This window comes from Homo sapiens, chromosome 3 (genome assembly GCF_000001405.40).
Source record: "Homo sapiens chromosome 3, GRCh38.p14 Primary Assembly".
NCBI classification, from domain to species: Eukaryota; Metazoa; Chordata; class Mammalia; order Primates; family Hominidae; genus Homo; species Homo sapiens.
Window position 1 is genome coordinate 154,863,494 of NC_000003.12, and position 27,797 is coordinate 154,891,290.

Consider the following 27,797-nt stretch of genomic DNA (forward strand, 5'->3'; position numbering starts at 1 on the left):
TATGTGTGTATTCTCAACCAATTATTTTAGTCACCTTTCTATGCCCCTTAAAACCAAAAAGTGAATGCTCTATATGAAAACATCCTACCTTACCTGATCTAGGCGTTATTTCCTGACTTGTTTCTAAGGCAACACATGCTCGAGATTGTTGCTTATGTGGTATCTCAAATGACAGCAGAAATATTTCATCCCAAATCTGTGTTCTACCCACCTGATACAAGATAGAAAATTTCTGCCATTTTTGTTTTATTGGGTCTTTTTTGTTTAACATTATGGGCACATTTAACAAACTGAAGGAAAAGAAAGAAACACCAAAAACTCAGAATTCATTTGTAGGAGGATCTTCAAGCCACCTGAATGGAACATTCCTCTCTAATCTTCCACTTGTAGAAACTGCATTACAACTTGCTGCTACCTTCCATTTCTGTTTTTTCTGTAATATATTACTCTCTATTTTTCTCTAATTTTGATATTGAATTGCAGAAAAAAGATTTTCACAAGGTGTAGGAGAGGGATTCAGGCTACTTGGAACATATTTAGGGAGACAACAAGGTTATTTTGCCTAGAAATCTTTTGAACTTCTCCCTAGCATCCCATACAGCATGGTACAAGTTGAGTTTCCTGAGTTTTGGCTTTATCCAGGTACTTTTGATCATCTGTACATGAAGCATTGTGCTACTTTCAGGCTGGAATTAGCCAAGCACATGAAAGCCACCATTCCTTGAAACCTGGATGAAAATAAAACAAAAACTGGTAGTCAGGCTATTGCCACAATTTAGATTCATAGCATTTAATTCAATATGCATTTACTAAAAAGTTATGATGTTCGAGACACTGAACTTGACCTCAAGGAGTTTCACACATCAAGATAAGGAAGAATGTCAAAGAAACTTAGATGCCACGTCTTTTTTGTCTAAAAAAAGGGGAGAGAAGCTAGGATATATAGTCTTGATTTTGTGTTCTGAGAGCTGGAAGCAAGATTTTCATAGCCTTGAAAATAAATATAGCAGACTAGAAATAATACTGATAATTTTTTTGAAGTCAGTGTAATAAAGGACTAAAATATTAATAAATTTGAATTATTATTATTTATCATTACTATTACTTTCTACTTTACAACTAAAAGAACTTTTTATCCCACCTGTGGGAATTTCAGAGCTCAAAGAACAAACACGTATTGGGCAATTAATCCATGTCAGGCATTACACTAGGAATTATACATCTTTTTGCTTAGCACAGTGCTGAGATTGATCTTGGCCTTGCAAAATATTGACAGAAAAACTAGAATATGTTTTAATTTTTTTAGGTCTCCATGAAGTAACTTCTAGCTTTGTATGAAGGAAATTCCCAGAACATGAACCACGTCCATCTTGAAACCAAAAAGCAAATGCTGATGAATTCTGAATTTCCAGCTGCCTGGGACTCACTTATTGAACTCCATTATCAGTGTTAAATGAAACCATGTTGGAGCCCGAGGTAAAAAGAAAAAAATTAAAAGTGTGAATCTACATATACCTAACAAAATATCCTCCTATATTTTGAACCAAGTGGGAAAGTTAACAAAAGTTCTACAATTAAAATAGTTTACACATCATTGTCAGCCTTCATAGATCCTCCTGGCAGAAGCCAAGAGGGTTGCACTGGCTGAGAATTGTGAGCTGATTGGAAACAACTGTTCCTGTTGCATAATAACACAGGACTGTCAGGCAAACAAACAAGATGTCTTTATTTACATTTTTGTTTTTTTAATCATGAATTTTTGCATTAATTTTGATTTTTTAAAATATTGTATTAAAATACTGTTTTCATTTCTGAGTTTTTTGGTACCTTCTTAAATTTTTCTCTGAGGTAGTGATGCTAATCCCAGCTCAGCCTTGTTCATTATTATAATTTATCTAACGTTGACTTCAGTTTCAAAACTTCTTTCTCATCCAGCCTGTTCATTGAACCAAGACTGGTTCTTGAGGCACAGTCAGGTGATTAAAAAGTCAGAAAATGAATGGAAAAGAAGCTTAAAAGATGAACACTGTCACACCTGTAATCCCAGCACTTTGGGAGGCCAAGGTGGGTGAATCAACTGAGGTCAGGAGTTCAAGACCAGCCTGGCCAACATGGTGAAACCCCCATCTCTACTAAAAATACAAAAATTAGCCAGGCGTGGTGGCGGGCGCTTGTAATCCCAGCTACTTGGGAGGCTGAGGCAGGAGAATCGCTTGAACCCAGGAGGTGGAGGTTGCAGTGAGCCGAGATCTGTGCCACTGCACTCCAGCCTGAGTGACAAGAGCAAAACTCTGTCTCAAAAAAAAAAAAAGAGATGAATACTGATAATGCAAAAAGTTTTTTAAAAACCTACAACATACTAAATACTTAAGAGTTAACTGTATTTTCTTTACAATTATTTACTGGTGGCATTTTGAATTGTTTAATCTTATTTTGAGAGGTTGCTGTTAGTGATGCTTTAACTTTTTCATATTTTCAGAAAGACTTTTATAACCATTATTTTGTTTAAAGCCTAGTTGAGTATATTGGATCCCTACTGTAGATTTAAAGGAAATAATGTTTTTTAATTGAGTCATTAAAAATGACAAAAGTAATAGATTTTTTAATAAATGTTTTTCATTCTACCTTCAGAGTTCACTGAGTGAATCAGAGGCCCTTGTTAACCTCACTTCTAGATTGTTCCAAGTGGTACGTGTCACATCTTAAGTGACTAACTGAACACATTTTACTCAACTAAGTGGCCTGGATCAATTATGCAGAGATATAGTGAAAGTTTGCCTTTCAGTGAATGTTTCCTTTTTTTAAAAAAGTTCAGTGTTTATTACATATATGTACTAGTCTCACTCAAAGACAGAAAACCACCTTTTTTCAGCATATTTGATCTAAATCTCAGAGTGAAGGAGCTATCCATAATAAACCAACTGGCTGAATGAATTCCTCTAAGCCCTTTAGAGGGCAGAGCAAACATTTGGGGTTGCAAAAAGTATGACCTGGGTACATCTGCACATGGATAAGTGAACTCAGAAAGCTCATATCACGTATTTATGTGCTATGGCTGATTTAAAAAAAAATCTTAGAATTATAATTTGGGTCTGATTTGTTAGACACCATTAAAGGGTTCTAATACAACAGCTTGTATTCTCAAGTTTCTAAATTTCCTTTTGTATGCCAAGTACCATTGCATTTATATAGCACATCTTGCTATTATTTATTAAGAGGCAAATTACTGCTTTATTTTGTCCCAGGCATATGGCTTGTACACAGTTAACTCTGTCCTTCATTGCAGTAATGAATTTTTATTTTAATCCTTTACATTTATTAATAGCTTTCCCCCATTTTTTCCCCTTTGTCTTTCCAAGGAGAGTAGAACCCCTCTTTACCTTAACTCGTAGTAAAACACTTTTAATTTTGGCCATCCAAAAAAAAAGAAAATATTTCAGGAATGTCTTTTTAACTTTTTGTTTCCTGATAAACTAACTCATCACTAGCTTTAGAGTCAGATCTTGTTGGAACCCAACTCCAACACTGACAAGCCAAGTGACCCTATCCTAGGCAAATAACATTACCTCCCTGGCCTCCTTTCTCATCAGCTTCATGTGAATGGTAGTGCCTATCTCAAAGCCAAATTGTAGGGATTACAGCAATAACTTATCTAATGTGCCTAGTACTTCTTAACCAGCAATTTCAAATGGTTCGACTTAATTGCAAGGGTTCAACAGATTATGGCTTCTGTGTTTTCCCTGGAAAGAGTCTGGCTGGGCAGGGACTTCCAGGGCTTTTGGCTTGTCTGAGATGAAATGCAGTTTATCTCATGCAAAGCTCATAGAAAATAAGGTGAGCACCTAGGTATAAGATGTTTACCTTGATGGCCAACTAAGATGGTTGATTCTTTTTGCCTTTACTACAGGCTTTCATTAGTTTTGACAGATATTCAACCAAAAGCTGGCTCTGCCCTGTCTTTTACAGAGACAAAATTATTTTCATTTATTTAGTCGTTTTCCAGTTCTGCATGGGTTGTATTGCTAAAGTACACAGAAACTTTTTTTCCTCTTTTTCCCTTTAGGAAAGCCCAAGATGGAATCTTAATTTCTTAAACAGTAAGTGTTTTGTTAAATTTCTATCGTAAGTTTTCATGACCCATGATAAGAAGAGATATTTCAGAAAAGACTGCAGAGATCACAGGATGCTACTGCTTACAGATGACACTGTTTCTGAAAGGCAAATGAATAAAGTTAAATTGCTAACTTCAACATAGCCTTGGTTTATATCTCAAACAACAAAGATATCTGAAAAAGTTTTATTTTTTATTCCAACTTCTATAGGCTTTTTTTTTTTTGCTTTCTTTGACAAAAGTGAACTTCCTTTTCTTTTACTCATTCCCAGTAGGACAAATCCTCATTTTGTTACTACAACCTTTCAGTTCCCTGCCTTAGGGCAAAGCTCCGTTTGACATTAATGGAAGCTCCAAGTCTGGCCCAGAAATGTGGGGACAAGACGCAAAGATGAGATCGTGAATGAGGCCATGAAAGTTAATATTCATAAACTCAAATGTACTTTCATGATGTTCAAATAGAGAAATAAAAATATATCAGCATTTCAGCAAAACATTTGTTATTCCTGCAAGCTTTATTATTAATTTATTTAGAAAGATGGTTGGCAGAGATACAAGGAAAAAGACCGTGGAAACTTGAACTAGGATTACAGACCCATTCCTGTTTTTCTCTCAAGGACTTAGTCTAACACTTCTCACATGTTTTCTTTTCACACATTTTCCAGTCATTCCTCATCAGGTTTCACCACTGTGTATATCATATTTTCATCAACCCAAAACTTATTGTGACACTTTGAAAACACTTTTTGAATCAAAGAGAAACCGGCACAGCTTACTAATGAAACTAGTAAGTTACCTCAACTCTCATAAATATCTTTTAATCACGAGTAATCTTTTGGTTAAATCCTTGTTCTTCTTATAACTCAGAAGTGATAGTTAATTTTTTAATTATCGAAGTTTTGTGCTCACATTGATTATATTTAATTTAAACCTTAAATGGAATAGATTTGGGGGAATTATGATGATTCCTCTTCAACATCTCAAATAAAAATTTTTCTGGCCAGGTGCGGTGGCTCACACCTGTAATCCCAGCACTTTGGGAGGCCAAGGCGGGCAGATAAGTTGAGGTCAGCAGTTTGACACCAGCCTGGCCAACATGGTGAAACCCCGTCTCTACTAAAAATACCAAAAAAAAAAAAAAAATTAGCCAGGCGTGGTTGTGGGCACCCCTAATCCCAGCTACTCAGGAGGCTGAGGCAAGAGAATCACTTGAGCCTGGAGGGGGAGGTTGCAGTGAGCCAAGATTTCCCCACTGCACTCCAGCCTGGTCAACAGAGCGAGACTCCAACTCAAAAAAAAAAAAAAATTTTTTTCTTTGGCCTTTGGAGGCCATTTCCACCTACCTAAAATGTTAATAGGATTGGCATGGATTGCTTTTTTTTTTCCTTTCCTTCTTTATACCGTATTTCATTTTTTCCTCTGTACTTTTCAAACTTTCTACAAAGCTAGTAATAAGTTAAAAAGATTTTAATCAAATAAGGTATAAACTAACTTCTTTTGTGTGTGTGTGTGAGATGGAATCTTGCTCTGTCGCCTAGGCTGGAGTGCAGTGGCCCAATCTCGGCTCACTGCAACCTCTACCTCAGGGTTCAAGCAATTCTCCTGCCTCGGCTTCCTGAGTAGCTGGGATTACAGGTGCCTGCCACTACACCCAGCTAATTTTTATATTTTTAGTAGAGATGAAGTTTCACCATGTTGGCCAGGCCTGTCTTTAGGTATATAAAAAAGTGACTTCAGGTGATCCGCCCACTTTGGCCTCCCAAAGTGCTGGGATTATGGGCATGAGCCACTGCACCTGGTCTAACCTGTTTCTTTTAGGACAAAGTTTCTCACAGTTCTGTGGAAGAAGTAGGTTTTGAACAAGATTCTGAATGGAGGTAATGCTGTGACTTGGCAGAGATGAGAGGAGAGAAGCAATGCTTAGAGAACAGTGACAGATAAGGGTTATTCCACAGGAAGCATCATTTTTGTGACCAACTTTGAAGCACATTGGAACGAGTTCAGAACTTAGGGAGGATTGTATTCACTGTCATTTTCACAGCAAAGATACTGCAAGGTCACTCTTGTGTTGTAATGATGATTCCTATAGCAATGTTTGCATAAACTAGATTCTGCTAATATATTTTCTTCGATTGACTGCTAGTTACTGCTCTGTCTAGTTCACTGGATTTTGAACATTTTTGTTGAAAACTCACATATGAAATATATTTTATATATGGCAACCCAGTATGCATAAGCATGCACACAAACACATTCACATCATATACCTAGACCTGTATCAATACCTATATCCATATCAATACCCATATTTTTAGGTATATAAAAATGTTGTACATAAAAATGTTGTGCTGCAATATTTACCTTTGCAACATAGAATACACTCCTGTTCTATTCTACTCTATCCTTCTCTATTCTATTCTCTCTTGCTCTATTCAGTTATTTCCATTCCATTGTACTCCACTTAAAAAGAAATAGTGGCTGTGACCTACTAAGGCCCATCACTTGAAAAATGCTAGCTTAGTAAATGCTTGGGTGACAAAGTCCTTCTGCCTGAAAACGGAAGCATGGCAAATATAATATTTTGTTTTTATAATATATTGTTACAACAGTCCCAGCTTAATACAAAAAAAAAGCCCAGGCCTGTGGAAGTATAAAAGATAAAATAATATTCTATAATTAGAATCACCAGGGCTTGTCTTGGGACCTTTGGTGGTGGCAAGAGAGAACTGAAAATGACTCGTGTTATGTACCTAAAGGATCTGAAGCCAGTGACTTTGTGGAGAGTACTGGAAACATCAGAAAAGGGTAATGGTTTGAGGGTATGATGTGGCCCTTTACTCTTTTTTTCAGACAGAAATTTTTGTCCATTTATGTAGTTCAAAATGATCAAACTATCAATGTGTCTTTTTCCCTGTCTTTTAAAAAATAACTTTTATTTTCTATTAATTCATAAGCATTACACAGTGAGTTATTTTTATTTCTATATCTTTCTTTATTTGCCACAGTAGAGCATATGATGTTCTATAATAATATGGAATACAGACATGTTAAAAAACAGTTTGTTTACTGAAACATTTTTCTTCTTCTTTTTTTTTTTGAGACAGAGTCTCGCTCTGTCGCCAGGCTGGAGTGCTGTGGCGCAATCTCAGCTCACTGCAACCTCTAGCTCCCTGGTTCAAGCGATTCTCCTGTCTTAGCTTCCTGAGTAGCTGGGATTACAGGCATGTGCCACCATGCCCGGCTAATTTTTGTATTTTTAGTAGAGACAAAGTTTCACCATATTGGCAAGGATGGTCTCGATCTCCTTACCTCGTGATCCACCTGCCTCGGCCTCCCAAAGTGCTGGGATTACAGGCTTGAGCCACCACGCCCAGCCTGAAACATTCTTCTTAAGAAGTTGCATGTGTGCAATTCTCTCCTCTCTTTATTTGCCAGCACTTAGTACAATTGAGAGGCCTTCTGTTTGCAAGAGGGAAGAGTTTGGCCTAAGACAGAACTTAGTTTAAATTCCAGCTTCTGACACTTAAACAGCCTTGGAATCTTAGAAAAGAGTGTAGTGTCTCAATTAGTCAGAATGTTTTCAGTGGCAAGTAACAGAATCTCAAATCAACCACTATTTCTTTTTAAGTGGTGTCCAGTGGAATGGAAATAACTGAGTAGAGGAAGACAGAATAGAATAGAGAAGGATAGAGTAGAAAAGAACAGGAGTTTATTCTATGTTGCAAGGGTAAATATTGGGCAAAAAGGGAAATCTAAGTCTAACATGACTGTGTCATTATCTTGCAAATAATGATTCCAGGCATCTATGACTCTTTCTTTCAGAACTCTCTTTCTTTCTCTGTGTTAGCTTTATTCTCAGTCTCACTATAAGTCTCCTTGTGTTAGCAAAAAAAAGGTCTCTAACAGCTCCAAACTTGTATTCTACAGTTTAACAACTCCAAGGGAAAGAGAACTACATTCCTAAATGTTTTAGAAAAATGCTCTGGGGCTAATGTTGATTGGTTATAATTCATCTGAATTGAGTCATATGCCCATCTCTGAACTAATTGCTATAACAAAGAAGATGCATTGCCTTCACTTGCTAAGCATGGGTCACGAACCCACCCCTACAACCTGGAGAGGATCCATCCATCTGAACCACATGAGTGAAGAGTAAGGGTTCTCCAAAGGAAAATTAGAAAACACAAGGTGAATAAGAGGCAAAAAATAATAGCCACTTCATCTCATAAAGCTTTAGTTTCTTTATATCTAAAATTTGGATGAATTTTGAATAAATTTTCTCTGAAGATTAGAAATAGGGAGAAGATTAAAAAAATCTGGCAAAAGAGTAGTTACTCAATGAGAGAGCAAATGAAAATAACAAAGCAAACAGAGTAAAATGGTAACAACAGGGGAATTAGGTAAAAGGATACATTAGTTTTCCTTTTACTATTTTTATTTTTTAAAGTTTGAAATTATTTCCATATAAAATATATTTTTCCATATAAAAAAGAGCATCTCTGACTTCTGGTTTCCTGTTCCACATGTAAAGACCTTGGAAACAATGGCTGTGTCCTAACAACGAGTGAAAAAAGAACTGAACAAACGGAAAAAGCAATAACTCTTCTTGAGTCTTAAAGAAAGAGGAGGACATGAGGCAAGCCACTGCCCTCAAAGTGGAGAGACAGGTGGATACAGCGAATGCCAGAGCAGATGTGCAAGCTGAGACGTCAGGAAGCAGCGTCAGGGGAGGAAAACACAAACCGCAGTGGACAAATTGATGGAGGCTCATTGTGGACACTTCTGAGAGAGAAAAACTCCAGGAGAACCCAGTTATAGGGAGGCTCCCACAATACTGTGAGATTTATGTTCAGGAGATCAAGCAAATTACCACAGTAAATGCCGGAGGAAAAAATCTCCTCACACTTCTGTCAGGGGGATGGGAAAAGGAACCATTTTGAAAGATATCAGAGCATTTTGTTCTTAACAAGAGCCTCAGGAGAAGCTAATTAACAGAAGTCTAACCTTCTGGGGCATTATCAGAGCCTAACTAACCTGGAGAAGGGAAATATCCAAATCCACTCAGCTCTGGCCTTTCACATAGGAGAAGGGAAATATCCAACTCTGCATCCTCTAGCTTTCCATGTTGGGGAAAGGAAAATACCCAGCTCCAGCCTCCTCTAACCATACTGTTCCACTTAAGTGAGGGGACTGGAAGGCACTGTGAAGTAACAGCCCAGAGGCACAGCCTCACTAAAAGAGTTGAAACTTAATCATAGGACTACAGAACACTCTTTCTTCCCTCATACCTTATCACCACATGACTAAGGCCTACTTAACCGAATTATTTTTTACCCAGTAAATCATGTCTTCCTCTAAACAAAAAATTACAAGTTATACTGTAAGGCAGAAAAACAGTTTGAAGAGGCTGAATAAGCATCTGAACCAACCATACATGGCGGGAATGTTGGAATTAAGCCAAGAATTTTTTAAACTATAATTAATATGATAATGGCTTTAATGGAAAAACTAAGCATGCAAAAAGGGGCAGATTATATAAGCAGAAAGATGGAAATTCTAGGACTGAATCAATCAGAAATACTAGATATCAAAAATGCATCCACAGGAATAAAGTATGCCTTTAATGGGTTCATTAGTAAACTGGACAAGGCTGAGGAAAGACTCTCTTAGCCTGAGGATATGACCATGGAAACTTCCAAAATTGAAAAGCAAAGTGAAAACAGAAAAAAAATAGAACAGAATATCCAAGCTCTGTGGGACAACTAGAAAACATGTAATCTATTCATACTGAGGAATACCAGGAGAAGAAAGAGAGAAACAGAACAAATATTTGAAACAATAATGACTAAAAATTTCCAAAGATTAACGTCAGACACCAAGTTATAAAATTAGGAAGCTCAGAGACCATTAAACAGGATAAATGCCCAAAAAACAACAGCTAGGCCTACTATATTCAAATTATAGAAAATGGAAGATAAAAACTTCTGAAAGAAGCCAGGGGCGAGGGAAGGGGACGTGGGGAGGGGTCAGGGAACCTTTCCTATAAAGCAGGGGTCCTCACCCCTGGGCCAGAGACCTGTACTGATCTGTGGCCTGTTAGGAAATGGGCTGCACAGCAGCAGGTGAACGGCAGCAATGGAGTATTACCACCTGAGCTCCGCCTCCTGTCAGATCAGCTGCAGCATTAGATTCTCATAGGAGCGTGAACGCTATCGTGAACTGCACATGCAAGGGATCTAGGTTGCACACTCCTTATGAGAATCCAATTAATGCCTGATGATCTGAGGTGGAAGACTTTCAACCCAAAACCAATCCCACCCCCTGACCCCATCTGTGGAAAAATTGTCTTCCATCAAACTGGTTCCTGATGTCAAAAAGTCTGGGGACTGCTGCTTAGAAAAGCAAATTATATTTGACTTCTCAGAAACTATGCAAGCAAGAATAAAGCGGAATCAAATCTATATAGTATTGAGAGAAAAAAACCACTAATCTAGAACCTTGTACCCTGTGAAATTATTCTTCAAAAGTGAAGAAGAAATAAAGAGTTTCTTAGACAAATAAAAATGGAGAAAATTTGTTGCCAGTAGGCCTGCCTTGCAAGAAATGTTAAAAGAAGATCATCAGAAAGAAGGAAAGTGACCTAGGTCAGAAACTCGCATCTACGTGAAGAAAATAAGACCAACAAAGAGAAGATAAGTGAAAGTAAGAAAAAAACTTTTCTGATTGTTGATTGATCTAACAGATAATAATTTTTTCAAAATAACAATAGTAACAATGTTTTTGATTATATATGTTTATGTATGATTATATATGAGTGAAATGAATGACAGCAGTGATACAAAGAATGTGCTGAAGAAATTCAATTTTTTAAGTTATTCACACTATCTCTGAAATGCTATTGTATAATTTAAAAGTGGATTTGGATTAGGTGTAAATGTTTATTGCAAACACTAGGAAAACCTTTTTTAAAAATAAAGAAGAAAAATAAATAAGCTAAGAAGGGAAAGAAAATGGATCTGTAAAATAATCAATTAAAACCACAAAAAGCAGAAGTAATGGGAGACAAAAACAGAAATAAAGAACAGAGGGGCCAGGCATGCTTGTAATACCAGTACTTCGGGAGGCCAAGGCAGGAGGGTTGCTTGAGGCCAGGAGTTTGAGACCAGCCTGGGCAATACAGTGAGACACCATCTCTACAAAAAAAATTTTTTTTAATTAGCTCAGCATGGTGGCACATGCCTGTAGTCCTAGCTACTCAGGAGGCTGAGGCAGGAGGATCTCTTGAGCCCAGGAGTTTGAGACCACAGTGAGCTGTGATCATACTACTGCACTTCACACTTGGTGACAGAGTGAGACATCTGAAGAAGGAAAGAAAGAAAAGAAGACCTTGGGGAGGGCCCAGGAAGATGGCCTAATAGGAACAGCTCCAGGAAATGCAAGGGGTCGGGGGATTTCCCTTTCCTAGCCAAGGGAAGCCATGAGAGGCTGTACCAGGAGGAACAGTATACTCCTGCCCAGATACTGCACTTTTCCCACAGTCTTCGCAACTGGCAGACCAGGAGATTCCCTCCAGTGCCTGGCTTGGCAGGTCCCTTGCCCACAGAGCCCTGCAAAGTAAAATCCATTGGCTTGAAATCCTCGCTGCTAACGCAGCAGTCTGAGATAGACCTGGGACGCTCGAGCTTGGTGGAGCAGGGACGTCCACCATTACTGAGGCTTGAGTAGGCAGTTTTATGCTCGCAGTGTAAACAAAGCTGCCAGGAAGTTTGAACTGGGCAGAGCCCACTACAGCTAAGCAAGGCTGACTGCCTCTCTAGATTCCACCTCTGTAGGCAGGGCATCTCTGAACAAAAGGCAGCAGCCCTAGTCAGGCACTTACAGATAAAACCCCCATCTCCCTGGGACAGAGCACCTGGGGTAAGGGGCAGCTGTGGGCACAGCTTCAGCAGACTTAAATGTCCCTGACTGATAGCTCTGAAGAGAGCAGTGGTTCTCCAGCATAGCATTCAAGCTCTGAACAGACAGACTGCCTCCTCAAGTGGGTCCCTGACCCCCAGGTAGCCTGACTGAGAGACATCTCCCAGTAGGGGCTGACAGACAACTCATACAGGAGAGCTCTGGCTGGCATCTGGTGGGTGTCCCTCTGGGACGAAGCTTTCAGAGGAAGGATCAGGCAGCAATAGTTGCTGTTCTGCAGCCTCTGCTGGTGATACCCACAAAAACAGTCTGGAGTGGACCTCCAGCAAACTCCAACAGACCTGCAGCTGAGGGTCCTGACTGTTAGAAGGAAAACTAACAAACAGAAAGGAATAGCATCAACATCAACAAAAAGGACATCCACATCAAAACCCCATCAGTAGGTCACTAACTTCAAAAACCAAAGTAGATAAAACCACAAAGATGGGGAGAAACCACAGCAGAATGGCTGAAAATTCCAAAAACCAGAACACCTGTTCTCCTCCAAAGGCTCACAACTCCTTACCAGCAAGGGAACAAAACTGGATGGAGAATGAGTTTGACGAATTGACAGAAGTAGGCTTCAGAGGTAGGTAATAACAAACTCCTCCAAGCTAAAGGAGCATGTTCTAAACCAATGCAAGGAAGCTAAGAACCTTGAAAAAATGTTAGACGAAATGCTAACTAGAAAAACCAGTGTAGAGAAGAACATAAACGACCTGATGGAGCTGAAAAACACAGCATGAGAACTTCATGAACCATACACAAGTTTCAATAGCCAAATCGTTCAAGCAGAAGAAAGGATATCAGTGACTGAAGATCAACTTAATGAAATTAAGCAAGGAGACAAGATTAGAGAAAAAGAGTAAAAAGAAATGAACAAAGCCTCCAAGAAATATGGGACTATGTGAAATGACCAAATTTATGTTTGATTGGTATACCTGAAAGTGACAAGGAGAAGGGAACTAAGCCGGAAAACACTCTTCAGGATATTATCCAGGAGAACCTCCCCAACCTAGCAAGGCAGTCCAACATTCACATTCAGGAAATACAAAGAACAGCACAAAGATATTCCTTGAAAAGAGCAACCCCAAGACACATAATCATTAGATTTACCAAGGTTGAAATAAAGGAAAAAATGTTAAGGGCAGCCAGAGAGAAAGGTTGGGTTACCCACAAAGGGAAGCCCATCACACAAACAGCGGATTTCTCGGCAGAAACTCTACAAGCCAGAAGAGAGTGGGGGCCAATATTCAGCATTCTTAAAGAAAAGAATTTTCAACTCAGAATTTCATATCCAGCCAGACTAAGCTTCATAAGAGAAGGAGAAATAAAATCCTTTACAGACAAGCAAATGCTGAGAGATTTTGTCACCACCAGGCCTGCCTTACAAGAGCTCTTGAAGGAAGCGCTAAACATGGAAAGGAACAACCAGTACCAGCCACTGCAAAAACATGTCAAATTGTAAAGACCATCAACACTATGAAAAAACTGCATCAACTAACAAGCAAAATAATCAGCTAGCATTATAATGACAGGATCAAAATAACACATAACAATATTAACTTTAAATGTAACTGGGCTAAATGCCGCAATTAAAAGACACAGACTGGCAAACAGGATAAAGAATCAAGATCCATCAATGTGCTGTATTCAGGGGACACATCTCACATGCAAAGACACACATAGGCTCAAAATAAAGGGATGGATGAAGATTACCAAGCAAATGGAAAGCAAAAAAAAGCAGGAGTTGCAATCCTAGTCTCTGATGAAACAGACTGTAAACCAACAAGGGTCAAAAGAGACAAAGAAGGCCATTACATAATGGTAAAGGAATCAATGCAACAAGAGCTAACTATCCTAAATATACATGCACCCAATACAGGAGCACCCAGATTCATAAAGCAAGTTTTTAGAGACCTACAAAGAGATTTAGACTCCCACATGATAATAGTCGGAGACTTTAACACCCTAACACCCTACAGATCAATAAGACAGAAAATTAACAAGGATATCCAGGATTTGAATTCAGCTTTGGACCAAGTGGACCTAATAGATATCTACAGAACTCTCCACCCTCGATCAACAGAATATACATTCTTCTCAGCACCACATCACACTTATTCTAAAATTGACCACATAACTGGAGTAAAACACTCCTCAGCAAATGTAAAAGAACAGAAATCACAATAAACTGTCTCTCAGACCACAGTGCAAACAAATTAGAACTCAGGATTAAGAAACACTAAAAACCACACAACTACAAGGAAACTGAACAACCTGCTCCTAAATGACTACTGGGTAAATAACGAAATGAAGACAGAAATAAAGATGTTCTTTGAAACCAATGGGAACGAAGATAAAACGTACCAGAATCTCTGGGACACATTTAAAGTAGTGTGTAGAGGGAAATTTATAGCACTAAATGCCCACAAGAGAAAGCAGGAAAGATCTAAAATCGACACCTAACATCACAGTTAAAAGAACTAGAGAAGCAACAGCAAACAAATTCAAAAGCTAGCAGAAGAAGACGACAAGAAATAACTAAGATCAGAGCAAAAATGAAGAAGATAGAGGCACAAAAAAACCTTCAAAAAAAAATCAATAAATCCAGGAGCTGGTTTTTTGAAAAGATCAACAAAATAGGTAGATTAATAAAGAAGAAAAGAGAGGAGAATCAAATAGACGCAATAAAAGATGATAAAGGGGATATCACCGCCAATCCCACAGAAATACAAACTACCATCAGAGAATACTATAAACACCTCTATGCAAACAAACTAGAAAATCTAGAGGAAATGGATAAATTCATGGACAAGTACACTCTCCGAAGACTAAACCAGGAAGAAGTCAAATCTCTGAATAGAACAATAATAGGTTCTGAAATTGAGGCAGCAATTAATAGCATACCAACAAAAAAAGTCCAGGACCAGACAGATTCACAGTCGAATTCTACCAGAGGTACAAAGAGAAGATGGTACCATTCCTTCTGAAACTATTCCAAATAATAGAAGAAGAGGGACTCCTCCCTAACTCATTTTATGAGGCCAGCATCATCCTGATACCAAAACCTGGCAAAGACATAACAAAAAAAAGAAAATTTTAGGCCAACATCCCTGATGAACATAGATGCAAAAATTTTCAATAAAATACTGACAAACCGAATCCAGCAGCACATCAAAAAGCTTATCCACCACGATCAAGTCGGCTTCATCCGTGGGATGCAAGACTGGTTCAACATACACAAATCAATAAACATAATCCATCACATAAACAGAACCAACGACAAAAACCACATGATTATTTCAATAGATGCAGAAAAGGCCTCTGGCTTGGTTCCATTCTCCCCATCATTTTCAGGTATACCAACAGCGCTTCATGCTAAAAACTCTCAATAAACTAGGTATTGATGGAACGTATTTCAAAATAATAAGAGCTATTTAGGACAAACCCACAGCCAACATCATACTGAATGGGCAAAAACTGGAAGCATTCCCTTTGAAAACTGGCACAAGACAAGGATGCCCTCTCTCACCATGCCTATTCGACATAGTATTGGATGTTCTGGCCAGGGCAATCCGGCAAGAGAAATAAATAAAGGTATTCAATTAGGAAAAGAGGAAGTCAAATTGTCTCTGTTTGCAGATGACATGATTGTATATTTAGAGAACCCCATCATCTCAGCGCCACATCTCCTTAAGCTGATAAGCAATTTCAGCAAAGTCTCAGGATACAAAATCAATGTGCAAAAATCACAAGCATTCTTGTACACCAATAACAAACAGAGAGCCAAATCATGAGTGAACTCCCATTCACAATTGCTTCAAAGAGAATAAAATACCTAGGAATCCAACTTACAAGGGATGTGAAGGACTTCTTCATGGAAAACTACAAACCACTACTCAAGGAAATAAAAGAGGGCACCAACAAATGAAAGAATATTTCATTCTCATGGATAGAAAGAATCAGTATCATGAAAATGGCCATACTGCCCAAGGTAATTTATAGATTCAATGCCATCCCCATCAAGCTAACAATGACTTTCTTCACAGAATTGGGAAAAATTACTTTAAACTTCATATGGAACCAAAAAAGAGCTGCATTGCCAAGACAATCCTGGGCAAGAAGAACAAAGCTGGAGGCATCACACTACCTGACTTCAAACTATACTACAAGGCTACAGTAACCAAAACAGCATGGTACTGGTACCAAAACAGAGATATAGACCAATGGAACAGAACAGACACCTCAGAAATAATACCACACATCTACAACCATCTGATCTTTGACAAACCTGACAAAAACAAGAAATCAGGAAAGGATTCCCTATTTAATCAATGGTGCTGGGAAAACTGGCTAGCCATATGCAGAAAGCTGAAACTGGATCCCTTCCTTACACCTTATACAAAAATTAACTCAAGATGGATGAAAGACTTAAATGTAAGACCTAAAACCATAAAAACCCCAAGAAGAAAACCTAGGCAATAGCATTCAGGACATAGGCATGGGCAAAGACTTCATGACTAAAACCCCAAAAGCAATGGCAACAAAAGCCAAAATAGACAAATGGGATCTAATTAAATTAAAGAGCTTCTGAACAGCAAAAGAAACTACCATCAGCATGAACAGGCAACCTACAGAATGGGAGAAAATTTTTGCAATCTATCCATCTGACAAAGGACTAATATTCAGAATCTGCAAAGAACTCAAACAAATTTACAAGAAAAAAACAAACAAACAACCCCATCAAAAAGTGGGCAAAGGATATGAACAGACACTTCTCAAAAGAAGACATTTATGCAGCCAACAAACTTATGAAAAAATGCTCATCATCACTGGTCATTAGAGAAATGCAAATCAAAACCACAATGAGATATAACATCTCACACCAGTTAGAATAGCAATCATTAAAAAGTCAGGAAACAACAGATGCTGGAAAGGATGTGGAGAAATAGGAACACTGTTACACTGTTGGTGGGAGTGTAAATTAGTTCAACCATTGTGGAAGACAGTGTGGCAATTCTTCAAGGATCTAGAACTAGAAATACCATTTGGCCCAGCAATCCTATTACTGGGTATACACCCAAAGGATTATAAATCATTCTACTATAAAGACACATGCACACATATGTTTATTGCAGCACTGTTCACAATAGCAAAGTTTTGGAACCAACTCAAATGCCCATCGATGATAGACTGGATAAGGAAAATGTGGCACATATACACCATGGAATACTATGCAGCCATAAAAAAGAAGGGGTTCATGTCCTTTGCAGGGACATGGATGAAACTGGAAACCATCATTCTCAGCAAAGTAACCCAAGAACAGAAAACCAAACACTGCATGTTCTCACTTATAAGTGGGAGTTGAACAATGAGAACAAACGGACACAGGAAGGAGAAAATTACACACTAGGGCCTGTCAGGGAGTGGGGGGCTGGGGGAGGGATAGCATTAGGAGAAATACTTAATGTAAATGACGAGTTGATGGGTGTAGCAAACCAACATGGCACATGAATACCTATGTAACAAACCTGCATGTTCTGCACATGTACCCCAACGCTTAAAGTATAATTCTAAAAAAAGAAAGAAAGAAAAGAAAAGAAAGCCTTGAAGAGAAATCAGTACAAATATGGTAGATGTTAATCCAACCATCAACAATCATTTTGAACATCAAAAGTTTAAATGCACCATCTATAAGACAGATATTGTTTGAGTAGATTAAAAAAAAATACCAAACTATATATTGTCTGGAAGAAGCCCCTTTTAAATATAAAGGCACATATAGTTTAGAATTAAATGAATAGAGAAAAATATGGCATGTTAACACTAATCAGAAGAAAATGGAATAGCTATATTAATTTCAGACAAAGATGACTTCAAAGCAAGGAACGTTATCAGGGATACAGAAGAGCGCTACATAATGATAAGGGGGTCAATTCTAATAATATATAACAATTCTTCATGTATACTCACCTAACAACAGTGTCAAAACAGCTGGGGCAAACACTGATAGCACTGCAAAGGGAGAAATAAATGAATTCATCATTATAGCTGGAGACTTCAACATCTCTTTTTCAGAAATGGACACATCCAGCAGACATAACATTAGTAAGGACCTAGTTGAACTAAACAACACCATCAATCAACTGTATATAACTGGCATCTATAGATTATTTTATCCAGCAACAGCTAATTACAAATTATTCTCAAACTCATATGAAACATTCATGGATATAGACCTTATTCAGGACCATATGTCACATCTTAACAAATTCAAAAGAATATAAATTAGGCAGTGTCTGCTTTCAGACCAAATGAAATTAAACTAGAAGTCAATAACAAAAAGATAATTGGAAAATACCAAATCCCAAAATGCACACAGATTAAGCCACATGCTTTTTTTTAAAAAAAAATACAGGGTCTCATTCTGTTACCCAGACTGAAGTTCAGTGGCATGATCATAGATCACTGCATCCTCAAACTCCTGGGCTCAAGCAATCCTCCTGCTTCAGCCTCCTGAGTAGCTAGGACTACAAGCACACACCACCATGCTGCACTAATTTTTTTATAACTTTTGTAGAGACAGGGTCTTGCTGTTTTGCCCAGGCTGGTCAGCAACATGATTTTAAATAACATGGGGTTCAAAGAAGAAATCTCAAGAGAAAATTTAAAATATAAAATTTGTGAAATACAGCAAAAGCAGTGCTTAGAGGAAAATTTATAGTGTTAAAATGCACATATTAGTAAAAAAAATCTAAAATCAATATTCTAAGTTCCTATCTCAGAAAACTAGAAAAAGAAGAGCAAATTAAATCCAAAGTAATCAGTAGGAAAAAAAATAAGTATCAGAGCAAAAACCAAGTTAATAAAATTGAAAATAAGACATCAATAGAGAAAATCAATAAAATCAAAAGCTGGTTCTTTGAAAAGTTCAATAAAATTAATTAGCCTTTAGCCAGGTAAACTAGGAAAAAAGAGAACAGAATCTACTAATATCAGAAAAGAAAGACATGACATCATTACAGAGCCTATAAACATTAAAAGGATAATAAAGAAATACTGCAAACACCACCACACACACAAATGTGATAACCTAGATAAAATGGAACAATTTATTGAAGAACACAATTTGCCAAAACTCACAGAAAAAGAAATAAGACAATTTGAATAGCCCCATATTAAGGAAATGGAATTGAAAATAAACTTCCAAAACAGAAAGCACCAAGACCGAATAAGTTTACTGATGAATTCTCCAAAATATTTAGAAAGAAATGTTAGCAATTCTCTACAATTTCTTTCACAGTAGAGAAGCAGAGGGAATATTTCCTAACTCATTTTATGAGGCCAATATTACTCTAATACCCAAACTGGACAAAGACATTAGAAGAAATAAAAACTACAGATCAATACATTTTATGAAAATAGCTGTAAAAATCCTCAGTAAATCATATCAAACAATGTATATAAAATCATACACCATGACCAAGTGGTATTTATCCTTGATATACAAGTTTGGTTCAACATTTGAAAATCAATTTTTGTATTCCATCACATCAACAAGCTAATAAATAAAAACCACATTATCATATCAATAGATGCAAAAAACGCATTTGACAAACTCTAACATTCATTCATAATAAAAAGGCTTAGTAAACTAGAAATGGAGGGGAACTTCATCAACTTGAGAGAGAATATATACAAAAACCCTACAGCTAACCTATAGTTAGCATGATACTTAATGGTGAGAAACATAAAACTTTCCCAGTAATTTCAAGAACAAGGCAAGGATGTCTCTTCTCATCACATTTTATCAACATTGTACTGGAAGTTTAGCTAATACAACAAGACAGAAAAAGGAAAGGAAATAATATGTATACAGGTTAAGAAGGAAGAAGTGTAACTCTTTATGTAAAGATGATATGATTCTCTCAAAGAATTGATTTAAAACAAACAAAAAATACTCCTGGAACTACTAAGCAATTTTAGCAAGGCTCCAGGATACAAAGTTAATATAAAAAAGTCAATAGTGGCCAGGTACAGTGGCTCACGCCTGTAATCCCAGCATTTTGGGAGTCCAAGCTGAGCAGATTGCTTGAGCCCAGGAGTTTGAGACCAGTCTGGTCAACATGGAGAAAACCTGTCTTTACTAAAAAAATGGAAAAAATTGCCAGGCGTGGTGATGCATGCTTGTAGTTCCAGCTACTCGAGAGGCTGAGGTGGGAGGATCACCTGAGTCCAAGATGCAGAGGTTGCAGTGGGCTGAGATTGCACCACACCACTGCACTCCAGCCTGGACCATAGAGCAAGACCCTGTCTCAAAAAAAAATGAATAAATAAGTCAATAGATTTTCCATATACCAGCAATGAACAAGGGGAATTTGAAATTAAAAACACAATAACATTTACATTAGCACACCCCAGAAAGTACTTAAGTATAAATCTTACAATATATGTACAAGATTTATATGAGTGAACCCACAAAATTCTAATGAAAGCTATCAAAGAAGAACTAAATAAATGGAGAGATATTCCATATTCATGGATAGAAAGTATCAACATTATCAAGATGTCAGTTCTTCCCAACTTGGTCTATAGATTTAAAATAATTACAATGAAAATCCAAGTTACTTTGTAGATATTGACAAATTGATTCTAAAGTTTATGGGGGAAGGAAAAAAATCTAGAATAGTCCAGATGACATTGAAGAAAAAGAACAAAGTTAGAGACTGACACCACATGACTTTAAAACTTACTACAAAGCTACAGTAATCAACACAGTGTGATATTGGTGAAAGAATATACAAATAGATCAATAGAACAGAATAGAGATCCCAGAAACAGACCCACATAAATACAGTCAACTGATCTTTGTCAAAAGAGCAATGTAATAGATAAAAGATACTCTTCAACAAATGATGCTGGAATAACTGCACACCTAGCTGCGAAAAAAAAAAAAAAAAAGAATCTAAACAGAAATCTTACACCCTTCAGAAAAATCAACTCAATATGAACCATATACCTAAATGTTAACCACAAAACTAGAAAACTCCTAGAAGATAACATAAGAGATAACCTAGATGACCTTGGGCGTAACAGTGACTTTTTAGATAAAACATCAAAAGCACCATCCATGATAGAAATAATTGATAAGCTGGACTTCATTAAAATTAAAAACTCCTCTGTGAAAGACAATTTCAAGAGAATGGGAAGAGAAGCCACAGACTGGGAGAAAATATTTGCGAAAGACACATATGAAAAGGGCTGTTATCTAAAATATACAAAAACTCTTGAAACTCAAGAATAAGAAAACACACAATCTTTAAAACTGGGCCAAAGACTCAGACACCTCACCAAGAAAAAACATGAATGCAAATGCAAATAAGCATGTGAAAAGATGCTTTGCTTCATATGTCATCAGAGAAATGCAAATTAAACAATAATGAGATAGCATTACACACATATTAGACTGTCCAAAGTCTGGAACACCAGTAACACAAAATGTTGTCCAGGATGCCAAGCAACAGGAACTTTCATTCATTGCTGGTGGGGATGCAAAATGGTACAGCTACTGTTGAAGAGAGTTTGGCAGTTTCTACAAAACTGAATATACTCTTACCACACAACTTAGCAAATGCATTTCTTGGCATTTATGCAAAAGAGTTGGAAAGTTATGTCCACACACACATACACACAAAAATGCACATGAATGTTTATAACAGCTTTAGTCATAGTTGCCAAAACTTGGAAACAATCAAGATATCCTCAGTGAATGAACAAATTAATAAACTGTGGTACACTCAGACATTAGAATATTATTCAGTGCTAAAAAGAAATGAGCTACAAAGATATGGAGGAATGTATATTATATATATATTATATTAAGTGTATATTATTAAGTGAAAGATACCAATCTGAAAAATCTATATGCTGTATGATTCCAACACGATCTTCTGGAAAGGCAAGACTAAAAGATCACTGGTTGCCAGGGATTGCAGGAAGGAAGAAATGAATACATGGAGCACAGATGATTTTAAGGGCAGTGAAAATACTCCATATGGTGCTATAATTATGCATATGTATCTTCATATTTACATTTGTCTAAACCCACAGAATGTACGACACCAAGAACAAACTGTAATGTACACTACAGACTTTGGGTGATTATGATGTGTCAACGTAGGTTCATCAATTGCAACAAATGTACCACTCTGGTAAATAATGTTGATAATAAGGCAAGCTATGCATATGTAGGGGCATGGAGAATGGGAAATCTATGTACTTCCCCTTAATTTTGCTATGAACCTAAAAATACTCTAAAAAAATAAGTAAACAAAAATAGTAGGTTCTCAGTAACCATTAATATTACCCCAAGCCTAGCTCAGCACTATGTATCATTATGAAGATGGCTTTGTTTTGATCTTCCTAAATGTGTAGAACTTTACATTATTTTCAAAGGCAATTTAATACAGACGTTGGTGCCAGGGCATTTAAACAAATATTTTTTAAAAATTTATATGAGGCTAAGTTAGAGATTCTATCACATTCATAATATGTTATGAGCTATCACAAATATTTTAAAATGTCAATCTAAAGAAATTCTATTTCTTTTCCAAACATTTCCAGAGCTCACTTGGAAAAAATATTTTTTTCTAGATATGAAGCTCCTGATATTAGGTAAAGAAACCTAATCAGTTGCTTAAGCAATAAAAGAGAAAGTGAGAAACAGGACCTGAAGGGTATTCTAAGGATAAAGGAGCAAGGGTTTTTCATTTTTTCTCAAAAGAGAAAGACAAGGAATTACAAAATATCTAGGAACAATTTAGGAACAAATTAGGAGACCCATTTAGGAATTTTTAAAAATCACTCATATTTGAATTTACAAGAAAAACGTTCCCATGAGTCATAAAAAATGAGTGTAATTCTGTGAGGAATCTTGATTTGTCTATGGATTTAAATGAATTCTTGATGTGTCACATAATCAAATGTGGTTTGTACTACGTGATGTAAACAGCCCTAGAATTCCCCTTCCTGCTGAGAACTTAATGACTAAATCCTCAGAGCTGAGAAGACACAGGCTACACAAATCTTGAAAGCATCAGATTCACCAGCCCATGTTCAGGAAGCCATTTCTCATAGCTGGAAGCCAACCAGCCATCCTGGGCTCTGGAAAATGTGATGACGTTTACAGTGTGATTTGAGCAACTTGTGCAGAACTGTGAGACTCAGGATACAATGTCTACATGCTCAAGACTTACCATCCCCAAACACCATTTAGTTCACTTTTTACATTAATTATCTCACTAAGAGAGAAAATGGAAATGTGAAAAAACGGCATGAAGAAACAAGCGAAAAACCAACCATAGCAGTGAACAGAAAGCCCCAGAATCAGACTTGACCTGTCTTCATCTTTTTACCTGGGCCAACCTGACTGAAAGCTGAAGTTTCTGAAGGAAAAACAAAGATGACTATGTCTGAATATCATAAATACTTAGACAAGCATTAAATATGGCAGCATGAACAAGATTGTATCTAGCTCCTGTTTTGTAGGTGGAAAAATTGAGACAAAAATGTTAAGTAATGTGGCTTTCATAGTACCTACAAAAATGAGGACTCTAAGGTGAGGGAATTCACTTCTCTGAATTATGAGGACAAATAAGTTTATACTTGGAAAAAATACAAAATACAGCCCAGATAAAAAGCAAATAGCCTTTAGATAACTACGGAACCAAAAGTGTTAATACTTGTTTTCGAATTCTGTGACTTACCGATTGCTAGTCTATCTACCTTGTTTGGTAGGACATATCAGCGATGCACTTGTGGGCATTTATCTCCACATTCCTCCTGAATGAAGGCCAGAGGTAAAAGAGGAATCAGGAAGCAGGAGAAAATGTAAAGGTTTCCATTTTAAATTCCAGAACTTAGATATAAAAGGTTTTTGTGTAGTGTTGCCATGTACAACGTATATTTGTTGTGTTTTAGCTGTCTGTATCTATTCCTCTTTGATTTGGAAACACTTTCTCAATCCCTTGAGTGAATTTTCACTCCACTGCTATGTTTGCTGGCTTCATGGGATTATTAGTCCAGGTGCCGCTATTCAAGTGCTGGGCCTATGACTCCAGTTAGGCTAATTGTATTCTCCCTTGAAGGACTTGGAATCTTGAGTCAAGATGCAAAGATCTAAAACCCCGACAGGTGTTTAATTTTAAGACGGAAGACATTGAGGCCAGGTGTGGCGGCTCATGACTGTAATCCCAGCACTTTGGGAGGCCAAGGTGGGTGGATCACCTGAGGTCAGAACTTTGAGACCAGCCTGGCCAAAATGGCAAAACCCCGACTCCACTGAAACTACAAAAACTAGCCAGGCGTGGTGGTGCACACCTATAATCCCAGCTGCTCTGCAGACTGAGACAAGAGAATTGCTTGAACCCGTGAGGTGCAGGTTGCAGTGAGCCAAGATGGTGCAACTGCACTCCAGCCTGGGTGACAAGGCTTGCAAGACTCTGTCTCAAAAAAAAGAAAAAAGAAACTGCCCACCACATCCTGCCACATGAACTCCTAGTGCCTCTCTCTCCCTGGGTCTACACTTTCCCCTTTTGTTCTGAAACTTAGCCAGTACCATTTCAATTAATGTATTAATATTTTTCATTTGAATCTCAGTCTTTGGGTTGCTCACAGCTATAGTAGGGAAGATGTTGGCTCTCAAGATCTTAGCACACCGTCTGACACTTAGAAGGCCTTCAGTAAATACTTTTTGAATTGTGTTAGGAATTGGTGGGTTCTTGGTCTCACTAACCTCAAGAATGAAGCCACTGATTCTCGCAGTGAGTACAGTTCTTAAAGGCAGCATGTCCAGAGTTTGTTCCTTCTGATGTTCAGATGTGTTCGGAGTTTCTTCCTTCTGCTGGGTTCGTGGTCTCGCTAGCTTCAGGCGTGAAGCTGCAGACTTTCGCAGTGACTGTTACAGCTCTTAAGGCAGCACATCTGGAATTGTCCATTCCTCCCAGTGGGTTCGTGGTTTCGCTGCCCTCAAGAGAAAATGCAGACCTTCGCGGTGAGTGTTAAGCTCATAAAGGCAATGTGGACCCAAAGAGTGACAAGCAGCAAAATTTATTGCAAAGAGCAAAAGAACGCTGCAAAAGGAGACCCCAGCAGGTTGCCACTGCTGGCTCAGCAGCCTGCTTTTATTGCCTTATCTGGCCCCACCCACATCCTGCTGATTGGTCCATTTTACAGAGAGCTGATTGGTCCGTTTTGACAGGCTGCTGATTGGTGCATTTACAATCCCTGAGCTAGACACAAAAGTTCTCCAAGTCCCCACTAGATTAGCTAGCTACAGATTGCCAATTGTTGCATCCACAAACCTTGAGCTAGATACAGAGTGCTGATTGGTGCATTTACAAACCTTGAGCTAGATACAGAGTACTGATTGGTGTATTCACAATCCCTCAGCTAGACCTAAAGGTTCTCCACGTCCCCACCAGATCAGCTAGACATAGAGTGCTAATTGGTGCATTTACAAACCTTGAGCTAGACACAGCGTGCTGATTGGTGTATTCACAATCCCTTAGAGAGACATGAAGATTCTCCAAGTCCCCACTAGACTCAGGAGCCCAGCTGGCTTCACCTAGTGGATCCTGCACCAGGGCCACAGGCAGAGCTGCCCGCCAGTCCTGCCGTGCGCCTGCACTCCTCGGCCCTTGGGTGGTTGATGGGACCTGGCGCTGCGGAGCAGGGGGCGCAGCTCGTCCGGAGGCTCAGGCCGTGCAGGAGCCCATGGCGGCCGGGGAATGGGGGAGTCTCAGGCCCAAGCCCTGCCCCACAGGGAGGCAGCTGAGGCCCTGCCAGAACTTGAGTGCAGCACTGGCGGCGGGCCGGCACTGCTGGGGGACCCGGTGCACCCTCCACAGCTGCTGGCCCAGTTACTAAGTCCCTCACTGCCCGAGGCCGGCGGCGCCAGCCGGCCGCTCGGAGTGCGGGGCCCGCCGAACCCACGCCCTCCCGGAACTCGCGCTGGCCCACAAGCGCCGCGCGCAGCCTGGGTTCCCGCCCACGCCTCTCCCTCCACGCCTCCTCTCAAGCTGAGGGAGCCGGCTCTGGCCTCCGCCAGCCCAGAAAGGGGCTTCCACAGTGCAGCGGCGGGCTCAAGAGCTCCTCAAGCGCGGCCAGAGTGGGCGCCTAGGCCGAGTAGGCGCCGAGAGCGAGGGAGGGCTGCGAGCGCTGCCAGCATGCTGTCACCTCTCAGAATGACTTACGATCAAGGTAAATGTTGGCTACCATTGAAGCATATAGATTATGATCTTACATCGTCTTGGGGTAGGTGTAGAGAAAGCTTATCAGAGGAGTGTGGTTGAAAAAGTCGTATTTTTAACCTCCCACAGTGCCTTATAGAGAATAGGTACTTAATAAATGTTTGAATCAAAAACACAAAATCCTATAAAAATATGTTTCAGTAAATCTAAAATTGATACAGTTTTACTAAATTTTGTTACAACTGCTATGTTCAGAATGTTTGTGTCTCCCCAAAATTCATACATTGGAGCCTAATCCCCAATGTGGTAGAAATTAAGAGATGCGGATTTGTGGAGTTGATTAGGTTATGAGAGCTCAATCCTAGTGAATGGGATTAGTTCCTTTGTAAAAAAGAGGCCTGAGGGAACTTGTTTGCCTCTCAGGTCACATGAGGACATGGCAAACATGGCAACAAGGCACCATCTTTAAAGTAGAGAGCAAGCCTCACCAGACACTGAATCTGGAGGTGCCTTGATCTTGGACCTTCCAGCCGGTAAGAACTGTGAGCAATAAATTTGTCCTACTCATAAATTACCTCGTCTAAGATATTTTGTTCTAGCAGCCCTAACAAAGACAATAACCTTCTAAGATTTGTTTTATTATGCTGAATGAGACAACACAGATGGAGAAAAAAATTAAATCCTGCCAAAGTTGGGAGTTTTCATATCTTTTTCACTTTTGCCATCAAGTAATATTACCCTCCCCTCAAAGCAACAGAGCTGAGTTCTTTCTCATCTAGGTCTAAGGAGTAACAAACATCCTTGCTTTCTTTGAGTGCCAGAGTCAGTAACAGAAAAAGCTGGCGCAAATTCTCAGGAGGAAATGCTAATTTGACTCCTCTCCACAAAATGTTGACACTTGACAACTCTATGTTTTTAAAATCTGATACCAAGGGTATTATCAGGGTATAGGAGGTCTTTTTGAGTTAAAAACAGGCTTAGAGTTCTTTGATGAGAGCCAAAAGGCAGTCTGGGAACTGGAAATGTTTATTGGACCTATGTTAAGATTTGGAGAACTGTGCACAATATATATTTTTTTTGCCCATAACCTTCATAGTCTTTGTTTCTGGGCCTAAAATAACATTTTTCTTCTCTTTTGCTACCAAAGTAGAAGCATTTTGGGAAAGTGTATATTTATGGAAAATATATCAAGAAAGGCTTCAGAGCAGAATATTGCCAAGCCTGCCACTTTGGGATAGTGCAAATAAATTAAAATAGTATTCTTAACACAAGCAAAAGAAAAAAAGTAGAATTCTTTCTATTCTTCTTAGACTTGCCTGAGTTTTATAAGCCTTGAGTATTAGACTGACAAAGTATCCAAAGGAAGATTTAGATAATTTGGGACGTGACTTAATGGGAATACAGTTTAAGTCTCAGGATTTTTGTCATTTGGGACAATTGACATGATAGTGTATGTCAGTTCTAGGACCAAACAGATG

The 27,797-nt window shown here is 38.4% G+C and overlaps 1 long non-coding RNA gene across 1 annotated transcript, besides 1 other annotated feature; it reads right to left on the reverse strand.

Moving 5' to 3' along the window:
- Window positions 1-224: 224 nt before the first annotated feature.
- Window positions 225-23,921, reverse strand: LOC105374170 (uncharacterized). Its single transcript, XR_924602.1, has 3 exons — window positions 23,836-23,921; window positions 18,044-18,085; window positions 225-728 (listed from the first exon to the last, which is right to left on the reverse strand). It is a non-coding gene; the product is annotated as an uncharacterized LOC105374170 (long non-coding RNA).
- Window positions 24,450-25,649: an enhancer, noted in NCBI's record as "BRD4-independent group 4 enhancer chr3:154605732-154606931 (GRCh37/hg19 assembly coordinates)". NCBI's record gives its function as "activates an origin of replication core promoter dependent on BRD2, P300/CBP, MED14 and CDK7 cofactors, and independent of BRD4, by STARR-seq in HCT116 cells {active_cell/tissue: HCT116}" and the evidence as "EXISTENCE:reporter gene assay evidence [ECO:0000049][PMID:35650434]".